General features: G+C 40.3%; 1 protein-coding gene and 1 long non-coding RNA gene across 5 annotated transcripts in view; both read right to left on the minus strand.

The window, feature by feature from the left end:
- Positions 1–1,534: 1,534 nt before the first annotated feature.
- LOC124904179 (uncharacterized) lies at positions 1,535–5,287 on the minus strand. The gene is made up of 2 exons (XR_007066094.1): positions 3,813–5,287; positions 1,535–1,676 (listed from the first exon to the last, which is right to left on the minus strand). It is a non-coding gene; the product is annotated as an uncharacterized LOC124904179 (long non-coding RNA).
- Positions 5,288–8,743: 3,456 nt separating this feature from the next.
- Positions 8,744–13,094, minus strand: part of NDC1 (NDC1 transmembrane nucleoporin) — a 72,819-nt gene continuing 68,468 nt past the window's right edge. For all 4 annotated transcript variants that reach the window (NR_033142.2, NM_001168551.2, NM_018087.5 and 1 more), the window contains one exon: positions 8,744–11,299. Coding sequence is in view for 3 of the 4 variants with exons in the window: in NM_001168551.2 (NP_001162023.1) it covers positions 11,236–11,299 (64 nt within the window). In the remaining variant the exon portion in view is untranslated. The remainder of the gene's footprint in view (positions 11,300–13,094) is intronic.

Raw genomic sequence — 13,094 nt, forward strand, 5'->3', positions numbered from 1 at the left:
GGTCTTGAACTCCTGACCTCAGGTGATCCACCTGCCTTGGTCTCCCAAAGTGCTGGGATTATAAGTGTGAACCACTGCATCCGGCCTCAATACGTATTTTTATTATCACTCATTGAAAAATATTTTTTCCTAACTTCTACCTATGTGATTTCTCCTTTGACCCATAGGTGATTTAAAATGTACCTTACTTTCAAAACATATGGAATGCTCTAATTATCATTTAAAATTGATCTCTACTTCAATTGCCTTATAGACACAATTTTAAATGATGTTAATCCTTTGAGACCGAGACTTACTTTATAGACCAACATATAACCAGAATTGTAAATGTTCAAGATGAGCTTGAAAAGAATGCTTGGACTCCAGTAGTTAGGTGCAGTGCTCCTCATGTGTCCCATAGGTCAACTGTGCTGACTATGTCATTCAGATATTCTACATCCTTACTGATTTCCAAAGTCTACTTCTATCAGTTACCAAGAGGTGTGGAAAATAACTTCTTTTTTTTTTTTAAATTTAGACAGAGTCTTGGTCTGTCACCTAGGCTGGAGTGCAGTGGTGTGATCTTGGGTCACTGCAACTTCTGCCTCCCAGGTTCAAGTGATTCTTCTGCCTCAGCCTCCCGAGTAGCTGGGATTACAGGTGCACACCACCAAACCGGGCTAATTTTTGTATTTTTAGTAAAGATGGGGTTTCACCATGATGGCCAGGCTGGTCTCGAACTCCTGACCTCAAATGATCAGCCCGCCTCGGCCTCCCAAAGTGCTGGGATTACAAGCGTGAGCCACCACACCCAGCCTGTTCTGTCAGTTTTTATGTATTTTTTTTTTACCAAAGCAACATACATAAAGTACACAAATTTTGCACATGCAATTCAATGAATTTTTATATGTATACACCCCCATAACTCAAATCAATATATGGACGTTTCCAGCACCTCAGAAGTTTTCCTCATGCCCTTCCACAAAGTCAATATACTGCCTCCTTCCCCATTACCACTACTTTGACTTCTATCACCATTAAATTCCACCTGTTCTCAATATGCATATAAATGTCATCATACATTAGATATTCCTTTGTGTCTGGCTTCTTTGGCTTAGTGTCTGTGAGCTCCATTCACATTGTTACATTTAGCAGTAGTTCATTCTTTTGATTGCTAAGTAACATTGCACCGTAAAAGTATAGCACACTTTATTCTACTGTTGATGAACATTTCAATTGTCTCTCATTGGGGACTATTGTGAAAACTCCTGCTTAGAGGCATCCTAGTAAACATGACTTTTGGTGGGCATATGCACTCATTTCTCTTGGACATTTACCAATTAGCAGAACCGATAGGTCACAGGGTAGGCACATGTTTAGCTTTAGTAGATATTGCCCATTTTTTCCCTCCTTCCAGCAATTATATGAGAGTTTTAGTTGTTCTACATCCTCATCAACACCCGTTATTATCAATCCTTTTATTTTTAGCCTTTGTAATGGGTGTGTATTAGTCTGTTTTCATGTTGCTCATAAAGACAAACCCGAGACTGGGCAATTTACGAAGGAATGAGGTTTAATGGAGATCTCACAGTTCCACGTGGCTGGGGAGGCCTCACAATCATGGTAGAAGGCAAGAAGGAGCAAGTCACATCTTACGTGGATGGCGGCAGGTGAAGAGAGTTTGTACAGGCAAACTCCTGTTTTTAAAGACATCAGATGTCATGAGACTTATTCACTATCACGAGAACAGCAAAGGAAAGACCCGCCCCCATGATTCAGTTATCTCCCACTGGGTCCCTCCCACAGCCCATGGGAATTATGGGAGATACAAGATGAGATTTGGGTGGGGATACAGAGCCAAATCATATCATTCTGCCCCTGGCACCTCCCAAATCACATGTCTTCACATTTCAAAACCAGTCATGCCTTCCCAACAGACCCCCAAAGTCTTAATTCATTTCAGTATTAACTCAAAAGTCCACAGTCCAAAGTCTCATCTGAGACAAGGCAAGTCCCTTCCACCTATAAGCCTGTAAAATCAAAAGTGAGCTAGTTACTTCCAAGATACAATGGGAGTACAGGTATTAGGTATATACAGCCATGCCAAATGGGAGAAATTGGCCGAAACAAAGGCCTCATGCAAGTCCCAAATGCAGTGGGGCAGTCAAATTTTAAAGCTCCAAAATGGTCTCCTTTGACGCCATGTCTCAAACCCAGGTCACGTTGATGCAAAAGGTGGGCTCCCCCAGCCTTGGGCAGCTCCACCCCTGTGGCTTTGCAGGGTACAGCCCACCTCCTGACTGCTTTCACAGGCTGGCACTGAATGTCTGCAGCTTTTCCAGGCACATGGTGCAAGCTGTCAGTGGATCTACCATTCTGGGGTCTAGAGGATTGTGGCCCTCTTCTCACAGCTTCACTAGGCAGTGCCCCACTAGGGACTCTGTGTGGGGCCTCCAACCCCACATTTTCCTTCTGCACTTCCTGAGCAGAGGTTCTTCATGAGGGCCCAACGCCTGCAGCAACCTTCTGCCTTGGCATCCAGGTGTTTCCATACCTCCTCTGAAATCTGGGTGGAGATTCCCAAACCTTAATTCTTGACTTCTGTGCACCCACAAGCTTAACACCATGTGGAAGCTGCCAAGGTTTGGGGCTTCCACTGTCTGAAGCAACAGCTTGCATTGTACCTTGGCCCCGTTTAGTCATGGCTGGAGTAGCTGGGATGCAGGCACCAAGTCCCTAGACTGCACATAGCAGAGGGAGCCTAAGCCTGGCTCACGAAACCATTTTTTCCTTCTAAATCTCCAGGCCTGTGATGGGAGGGGCTGCCACAAAGATCTCTGACATGCCCTGGAAACATTTTCTTCATTGTCTTGGGGATTAACATTTGGCTTCTCATTATGCACATTTCTCCATCCAGCTAGAATTTCTCCTCAAAAAATGGGATTTTCTTTTCTATCACATTGTCAGGCTGCAAATTTTCCAAACTTTTATGCTCTGTGTTCCTTTTAAAACTGAATGCCTTTAACAGAACCCAAGTAACCTCTTGAATGCTTTGCTGCTTAGACATTTCTTCCACTGGCTGGGCATGGTGGCTCATACCTGTAATCCCAGCACTTTGGGAGGCCGAGGTGGGTAGAATCACCTGCGGTCAGGAGTTACAGACCAGCCAGACCCATATGGTGAAAACCTGTCTCTACTAAAATTACAAAAATTAGCCAGGCATGGTGGCGTGTGCCTGTAGTCCCAGCTACTTGGGAGGCTGAGGCAGGAAAATCACTTGAACCCAGAAGGTGAAGGCTGCAGTGAGCCGAGATCATGAGACTGCACTCCAGCCTGGGTAACACAGCAAGACTCCCTCTCGAAAAAAAAAAAAGAAGAAATTTCTTCCACCAGATACCCTAAATAATCTCTCTCAAGTTCAAAGTTTCACAAATCTCGAAGGCAGGGGCAAAATGCCACCAGTCTCTTTGCTAAAACATAAGAAGAGTCACTTTTGCTCCAGTTCCCAACAAGTTCCTCATTTCCATCTGAGACCACCTCAGCCTGGGCTATATCGTCCATATCACTATCAACATTTTGGGCAAAGCCATTCAACAAGTCTCAAGTAAGTTCCAAACTGTCCCACATTTTCCTGTCTTCTTCTGAACCCTCCAAACTGTTCTAACCCCTGCCTGTTACCCAGTTCCAAAGTCACTTCCACATTTTCAGGTATCTTTTCAGCACCTCACTCTACTGGTACCAATTTACTGTATTAATCTGTTTTCATGCTGTTGATAAAGACAAACCCGAGACTGGGCAATTTACAAAGGAAAGAGGCTTAATGGAGAACTCACAGTTCCATGTCGCTGGGGGAGCCTCACAATCCTGGTGGAAGGCAAGGAGGAGCAAGTCACATCTTAGGTGGATGGCGGCAGGCAAAGAGAGAGCTTGTGGAGATAAACTCCTGTCTTTAAAGCCCTCAGATGTCACGTGACTCATTCACTATCACAAGAACAGCACAGGAAAGACCTGCTCTATGATTCAATTATCTCCCACTGGGTCCCTCCCGTAACACGTGAGAATTATGGGAGCTACAAGATGAGATTTGGGTGGAGACACAGAGCCAACCGTATCAGGGTATGTAGTGGTGTCTCATTACATTTTAAGTTTGTATTTTCCTAATAACTAAGGGTGCTTATTTCTCTTACAGGCCATTGGGATAAACTCTTTTGAAGCATCTGTTCATCTTTTGCCCATACTGCTTTATGTACTTAGAGGTTACAGAAGTTGCATTAACATTTAGAACTGTATCATATTGGCCAGGCACAGTGGCTCACGCCTGTAATCCCAGCACTTTGGGAGGCTGAGGCGGGCAGATCACGAGGTCAGGAGATCGAGACCATCCTGGCTAACACAGTGAAACCCTGTCTCTACTAAAAATAAAAAAAAAAATTAGCCGGGCATGGTGGTGGGCGCCAGTAGTCCCAGCTACTCGGGAGGCTGAGGCAGAAGAATGGCGTGAACTCAGGAGGCGGAGCTTGCAGTGAGCCGAGATTGTGCCACTGCACTCCAGCCTGGGCAACAGAGCAAGACTCCGTCTCAACAAAAGAAAAAAAAAAAAGAACTGTATCATATTAAATGAACCTTTTTTAAAAAATCTTTTATTATTTTGAGGTGTCCCTATTTATCTCTAGTAAGGCTTTCTGTCTTAAAGTGTACTTTGTCAAAAACTTACATAGCTATACCAGCTTTCATTTAGTGTTTGCATGTTTATCTTTTCCTATCCTTTTACTTTCAACGTATCTATCCTTATAATGAAATCTCTCAGCTATTGTTGAAATCTCTCAGGTATTGTTTGTCTGAAAAAAAAGTCTTTATTTCCCCACCATTTTAAAAGATTAATGCTGGGTATAAAATTCTAGGTTAGTAGAGTCCTTTCGGCACTTTAAAATGTCCATTTCGTTGTCTTCAGTTGTTTTTGTTGAGAATTGCTGCTCATTTGAAAGTGGCCTTTGGCCAGGCACAATGGCTTACACCTGTAATCCCAGCACTTTGGGAGGCAGAGGCGGGATCACTTGAGCCCAGGAGTTCGAGATCAGCCTGGGAAACATGGTGAGAACCTGTTCCTACAAAAAATTTAAAAATTAGCCAGGCACGGGGGCACATGCCTATAGTCCCAGCTACTAGGGGCCTTAGGTGAGAGGACTGCTTGAGCCTGGGAGGTCAAGGCTGCAGTGAGCCAAGATCATGTCACTACACTCCAGCCTGGGTAACAGAGCGAGACCCTGTCTCAAAAATAAAATAAAAGTGGTCTTTTTTTCTCTCTACTTTGAAGACTTTGTCTTTGGTTTTTAGTGCCTTTACTATGATGTAGCTCAGTGTGGGTTCTTTTTATTTATCTGTTTAGGGCTCATAAAGCTTTTTCAATCTGTGGCTTGATGTCTCAAGTTTGGAAAGTTCTCTGTTTCGTATCTTCAAAACTGCTTCTGTTCCATTAGATCTCCCTCTCCTTCCAGGATTCCAATTACACTTATACATTTTCTCACTGTATCATCTATTTTAATCTATCTTCTGTATTTTAATATTTTTGACTTTCAAAGCTTTATTCTGGATAGTTTCTTCTGACCTATCTTCAGTCATTTTCTTCAGCTATGTCTAATCTGCCATTAAATCTACCCATTGACCTCTTATTTTTAGTTATCCTGTTTCTGTTCTAGAATTTCTCCATGGTTCATTATCAAATTTTATATAAATGGCTTATAAGTACCTAACCACAAATTATATATGTAAATATGTAGCTTCCAGTTCTCTAATGAATTAGAATTTTTAGTCTCATTGAATATAGCAGTAATAACTATTTTAAAATCTCCGATAACTCTCTCATGCAGAGTCCCTATGGATCAATCTATTGTCGATTGCTTTTGTTGGTTCTCATTCATGTTATGCTGTCTCTTCCTGAGCCTGGCTACTTTTAATGGTGTATAGAACTGTATTTGAAAATTTGTTTATAGATATAATGAAGGCCTATGGTGTTGTGTTCCTCAGAAAGGATTTATTTAGCTTCTGCCAGGGCCTGGAAATACTGGCAAACAGATAATCTCAATCCAATTTAATGAGGATTCTCCCTCAATTAGTTTATGGCATCTACTTCCTCTTCATCCTTCCTCCTAAGGTGAAGCACTTTGGGGTCCCAACCCAAGGCAAGGGGATTTGCCAGCTCCTCTTTGCAGGCCTTGAATCCCAAATTTTGTCCTCTATCCTGGGAGGCTCTGGGAACTGCCCCTACTCTCCATCTCATCCTGATCAACAAAGGTAGGTTTGTAGAAGCTATGTTGGCACACCATGGCCTTGCCCCTCACGCCTAATTAGACCCTTGGATATTTCATCCATTTAGGCTAATCTCTTTCAATCAGGAATTTGGTTGGTATTCAGAACTAGCTGGTCAGTCTCTTATTACATTGTAAACTCGGGAGCTGGATGGAGTGGCAGAAAGCAAGGAGGGAGAATAAAACGTATGTGCAGAAAACAGCTGAGAAGGAGACCATGAGAGCTCTTCAGATTCTTTCTGGGGTCTGGAACCTACACTTGTGCTCACCAAAACTTTCCTGTGCCCTCAGAATCAACTCTCCTTTCTATGCTTAACCTAATTGAGGTAGAGGTTGTGTCCTTGCAACCAAACATCATAATACAGTTAGGAAGAGACTAGCGTTTAATATTTTTTTTAAGACTACACACCACTCTTACTAATGGCTTGAGAGGTAAAAGGATAAACCAACTAAGAGTCAACATATCTTCAAACGACTATCAAGGTAAAAATCTGATTCAGAGGTCACCTTCCAGTGTTTCTCTGCCAGGCATTCCATGGGACTTCCAGAACCACTTTACCAACAGAATCACTTATAAGGCACACTCAAAATCTGGTAAAATACATGTGAGCAGGGAGAGCATGACCACTTGAGGGCGGTCCAGCCACACAGCTCTGCAAAATGAGGTGGGTGACAAAGTGGGCTAGCACCAGGACATCTAAGGACATGCTATGGTTAATGATAATGACGGTTAAGCTCATTCTAAAGAATGGGAAGTTTTTGCCAAAAAGATAGAAATTCAGGTAAAGGGAACACGCACCAGCACAGAATGGTGTGGAAAGGCAACCCATGTCATGTCACTGCTGCAACTTCAAGATAAGTATCTGAACACCTGAACATTGCTCAGCATTCTTGCATTACCTAGAGATTTAACTGTACTCTTCAAGCTTTTCAATAACTGAATCAGATAGAAGAACTCTACAGCGAATGATAGTTCATATTGCTTCAGACACTCATCTGAGAGAACACATTAGCAATCCACTAGAACACTGGTTCTCAAAGTATGGTCTCAGGACTAGCAGCATCAGCATCACCTGGTGATGTGTCAGAAATGCAAATTATTGGGCCCTACCCTAGACTTACTGAATCAGAAACTCTAGGCTGGGTGCCATGGCTCACACCTGTAATCCCAGCACTTTGGGAGGCTGAGGTGGGTGGATTGCTTAAGCACAGGAGTTTGATACCAGCCTGGGCAATAGTGGGACATTGTGTCTACAAAAAATAGAGAATATGGCCAGGCGTGGTGGTGTGCACTATGATCCTAGCTACATGGGAGGCTGAAGTGGGAGGATTGCTTGAGCCTGAGAGGTCAAGGCTACAGTGGGCCAGGATCATGTCACTGCACTCCAGCCTGGGTGACAGAGAAAAAGAACCTGTGGAAGGATGGAAGGAAGGAAAAGAAACTCTGGAGGTGGGGCCAGTAAATCTGTTTTAATAAGCTCCTCAAGAGATTCTGATACATGCTAAAGTATGATCTAGAATAAACCCTTCTCATAATGTGATTCTGCTTAGACTTTTATTAAAAACTACATCTCTTGGGAACCAGCTGAGACCTCTTGAAGCAAAATCTGCACTATCGTGGAGCCCAGATTCTACATAGCTACTAAGCCCTCCTGGTGATTCCGATGCACAGTGGGTTTCAAATACCCCATTAGATTATAAACTCCTTGAGAGCAGGGACTGTCTTGTTCAGTTTATTTCTAATTGTTGTGCCATAAGAGACACTCAGTGAATGTTTGTGAATGATCAGCTAGTTCCACATCAACCTGCCCATCACGACAGCAACTTGTGCCAAGGCTGCTTAGGAGCATGGCAGAACTGTAGAGGTATGTGTTTATCCATCCCCTTTCTTGCCCCTCAAAACAATAAAGATTTTGCTTACTTAAAAATGGCCAGCAGCTTGGTAAGCATAGCTGGATTGTTAACTGATGAATGAAAGCCATCTTTGTTTTAAGCTATTTGGTTGTAAAGAAAGGTAACTATGGCTTGGGAGAGCTAGAAGGGGTTTGAGGTACCTCAACTACCTAGAGGTGAAGTTCAGATTAATTTAAGTAACGTTGACAGACGTAACTGTTAGCCTAGGGGAATACGATCCATTTGGAAACACTATTGCAAGAAAAGAAACTTCTGTTAAGAGATGGCTTTGAGCACCTCCACCCTTTGTTTAGTTTTGTCAGCCAAGACAACAAAGAATGAGACTTTCTGAATTCAGGCTCCTTAGAGTTACCATGAAACCCACCAAATCAGTCTAGGTTAAGGGCAAAAGCTGACTTCTCAAGAAGTTCAACTCTTTCTGGTTTTATAAGCAACAACTCTGAGACTAAATTGAAATGATTCAGGAAACATCACCACCACCACCCCCCCGCCCAGAAATTAAATAATTGACCTTATAAACACACATATTTCAATTAACTGTTCCATTTTTTTAAATTGCCAATTTATTTTTCTACCCAATCCAGTATCAACGATATACAAAAGGATATAAACAGACTATCATGAATATTTACAGGATGACACACCAAACAATTACCAAGGAACAAATCCTGCAAAGTAACAAATTGTTGCTTATCCATGTCCACTCAACTGTACAAGGTTTATTTCTAGGACAATTTCCCAGTTCTCTGGGAAGGAAGTTCTGTGGATTTATACCTTCCATAAGGGTCAAGCAAACATGCTAAGAGCTGATACCATCATGTTTTTATACTAACAGCCGAGAAAGGCTTTTAAAGAACACTCTCTTTCAGGCCAATGTTACAGCATTAGTGGGCTCATAGACAGGATGTGACTTCATCAAAGGAAATGCTTCTCTCCTCTTGGTCTCCCTAAGGTCCTCCTCCTAGTACACAGGAGGAGTTCCCCATAATAACACCCTGGTTCCAACAGATGGTGTGTAGATTATCAACACACAATGAGAAAAAGAAACTGACCCCCTTACCTACCAAATACAATACAGATCTGGGGAGGCAGTTTCCAGATCTTCAACAGGCAGACACTATGTGGCCTGTATTTAGTACACAGCACATTCTCTTAAGAGAAAACAGGAATGAACATTCTCAGAAACATTCACATTGCTCATCAAATGTAGCTTTACCCAAAGTATATAGGAAATGGCAAAAACCTAACCTAGCTGGACATTTTATACAAGTAAGTCAAAGTTCAAAGGAATCATCCTATCTTTATTCTCAGAAATCCAATGTTGAATATCACAGTTCTTCTTTAATGGAAGCAGAAGATTCAGAGTCCTTGTCTCCCAAAATGCCTCAGCCAGGGTCAGCACAGAGAGTGGAATATAAAAAGCTTAATTGTGTTAATACATGGAAGACAACAGTTCTCAGTCAACCTAGCCACAATTTTCTGTCTTGGCCATCTGTAAGAAATGACTACGTTTGAAATTCAACTTTCACATTCAAAAAAAAGAAATCAATTCAGCTTCAGACACAAAGCAAAACCAAAACAAAAAAACAAATGGCAATAGTCTACATATCTAAACACTTGACAATTGGGGAACTGTCCCACAGTGATATGCTCAAGGCCAGTAGCACCTATTTATAATTTGGCATGTACTGCTTGAAGGGGCAACAGGACCCGGAGCTAAAATATTCAATTATAAAGATATAATACATCGATGAATCAGACAAAAGTAGACATATATGATACCACATTAAAGATTCATATACAGTACTGTGCTGACTTTAAAGAAAATATTTTGGGACACTAGAAGGAAAAGACAATAGGAAAAGAATTACAAAGGAGCATTTCAGTCCAAAGCCAGTCCAGTGAATATCTATGACTAGGATTTCCAATCTTTGATCTCCAAAGAAGCTGATCTAATAAATTCTAACAATACTTCGTTCACATTTGGGACACACAACATACTTCCAAGTACAGTAATCCCTCTGACGTTTTGGTTTCACTTGCTATTTGATGACTAAGTTGTTTCTGGCTATAAAGATCTTCCTATTTTAATTAGCCATTTAACACTACAGAGGCTGCTCCCTTTGAGAGACCAGACAAGTTTCACAGAATTTGATCTAATGAAGATGAATGGTGGGGAAAAAAGGGAACATTTCCTGGGTTTTTTTGCAAACCTTTTTCTCTTGCTTGAAAAACTCTGCAATCACTTAATGTTTTGCTCCAGAAAAAGAAAGCAAAACTAGCTGGGAAAATACCCATACATTAATACTTCGTGTTTACTAGCATGATACAAAATAAATTCATAGATGTCAGTCAATTGTTTCTTAAAGACCAAATGTGAATTTTTAATCTTGTAACTTAAGAACTGAGTTTTTCCACATTCCTTTATATAGAGTTAGCATCTGTAAACTGAGACCCTTTTTTGGGTAATCATACAAATTTAATTTGTCCCTGGAAACAAAAACCCAACCTAACAGATTAACAAAATATGTCCGTTAGACAATATTTTTTGTGAATATTGCTGCACTGTTACCATTTTTATCCTTCAGTAAATGAAACTACACTTAAAAAGTTTATGTATTTTGAGTTTACAAAGAGCTAAACTCTTAATTAAGAAGACTATGAAATCAACCTATACTCATTTCAGAACTGGCTTCCCTCCTTTCAAAAGTAAATTCTAAAAGTTTTTTAGTTATTACTATTAAGTTATATGAGCTAGAGACATTTCGACTGCCATCAATGCTTCTGTAAAATTGAATAAAGATTTTATTATACCACACACACAAAAAGCAATCGGTACAGAAAAGGCAGTTTTCAGTTATTCTGTTGAGAATTTCTTTCCATGATTTCTCCCATTAAAGTATAGTTTTCAAAGCAACCACCACGACAAAGGAAGCATCTAATTAGTCCGTTTTCTTCTGATCCAAGAATGCTGAACATTTACTGTCCCATCTGTAGTTGTATCAGCAGTGTAATGAACACAGTTTATATTACTTAACTATTCTTTGAACTCCAAGAACTGTTGAAGTCTTTTCTGATGTTCTGCAGATGCTTGCACAGCACTAAATGAAACATAAATTCAAAGCATAAGCTTTATTTTACATTAAGCATATTAAGTGAACCACAGAGCACAGAGACAATATTTTTCAAAACAATTAAAAATGAATAGAAATCTTCACTTATTACTATTTCTGAAAAAGCTGGATGAAAACTCTTTTTAATCTAATGAAGAGGAGGGCTTGCATTCAGTAATGGCATGCTTCTATCTTCTAAAAGACCAAACAAATTAAGACTGACAAGTGAAGGCATTGACTTTAACCTGCTCTGCTATGGAACCTGCTGTGCGGAGTTCCAGGCCTTGGAGTAGATTTTCTGGATTTTATTATTTTATTTAAACCAGATTCCAACATTATCTTTGAGTTGTGGAGTATCTGAATTGCCTTTAATACAAAATCCTTTAATCTAAAATGTTTGGTTAAAACACAATAGACTCCATTAATTGTTTTCAAAGGTAACAGCTTGGTGGTTTAGATTTACTTCTCCCTTTGAACATAAGTTATGTTTTGGATGTGAACACTGTGTTCTCTCTCCACCCTCACCATCACGAAAATATATTACACCTTGATAAAATTAGGGCAAATATATACTGAAACTAGTATAATACTTCCTCTTAAACTTTTGGGCAAAAATTGAATATAATGAAAAATTCCGGTTTTCTAGTTCTTGAATAGGTCACCGCTTTTAAAAGTGCCAAAACGGTCTTATTTTAATAATTGTGTTATGAATTGCCCTAAAATGTCTTATAGACATCTTTGCTTTCTTGAACCATGTACCTCCAATTGAACCATTTCAAGTATTTTACTGTACAAAGATGCCCTCTAGGTGCTAGTGAGGCTGTCTTCTCTAACTTAATGGCTCTGGAATTCTCTCCAACACCAAATCTGTGGCTTTCCCATTATATTTCTCTCTGCTAGCAGGTAGTAAAGTGTCCCTTACAATTTACTATTAGTACTCCTGACTCTAGTAGCAATCTCTGCCCCTCAAATAAATTTTGATATGGGCCAGGCATGGTGGTTCACACCTGTAATCCCAACACTGAGAGGCCTGAGGCAGGAGAACTGCTTGAGCTCAGGAGTTTGAGGCTGCAGTGAACTATGCTATGATCTTGTCACTGCACTCCAGCCTGGGCAACAGAGCAAGACCCTGACTCAAAAAAATTTTTTTGATATGTTATAGGCTGGAAAACCAGAATTAAATTAGCCTAAATTAGGAGTAAATGGGAGGTGGCAGGGAATGGGGAGATGTAGGTCAAAGGATAGAAAGTTGCACATATGTAGGATGAACAAGTCTAGAGATCTAATGTATAACATGACGACTATGGCTAACAAAATTGTAATGTACTAGGTATTTTTGTTAAATAAGCAGATTTTAGCTGCCTTTGACATACACACAAGAAAGTAACTATGTGAGATGACAGACATGTTAATTTACTTCACTAAACATTTTACTATTTATATATAAATCCCATAACATATGTTATAAACCTCAAATATACACAATACAATTTATCTTTTAAAAAATAAGTAAATAGTGTTGAATGAATGTCTCCAATGAGTGGGCTGTGTTTGTTAGTTGATTTTCAGAGCTCAAGAGCTAACTTCATTTATACCTAGTTCTCAGAGGTAGAGCTTTGAATAGTGAATAATCAGATATTATACAATAAGTATCATGATAATGTAGACTGCACAGTGGGCTTTACCTACGTATGATCCCATTTTATCTTTACTAACAACAAATGAAACCAAGTGGGTGTGAGAATGTTCCCTTTCATGGGGACAAAAACTGTATCAGAAAGAT

The sequence above is a fragment of the Homo sapiens genome, chromosome 1, assembly GCF_000001405.40.
Source record: "Homo sapiens chromosome 1, GRCh38.p14 Primary Assembly".
Taxonomy (NCBI): domain Eukaryota; kingdom Metazoa; phylum Chordata; class Mammalia; order Primates; family Hominidae; genus Homo; species Homo sapiens.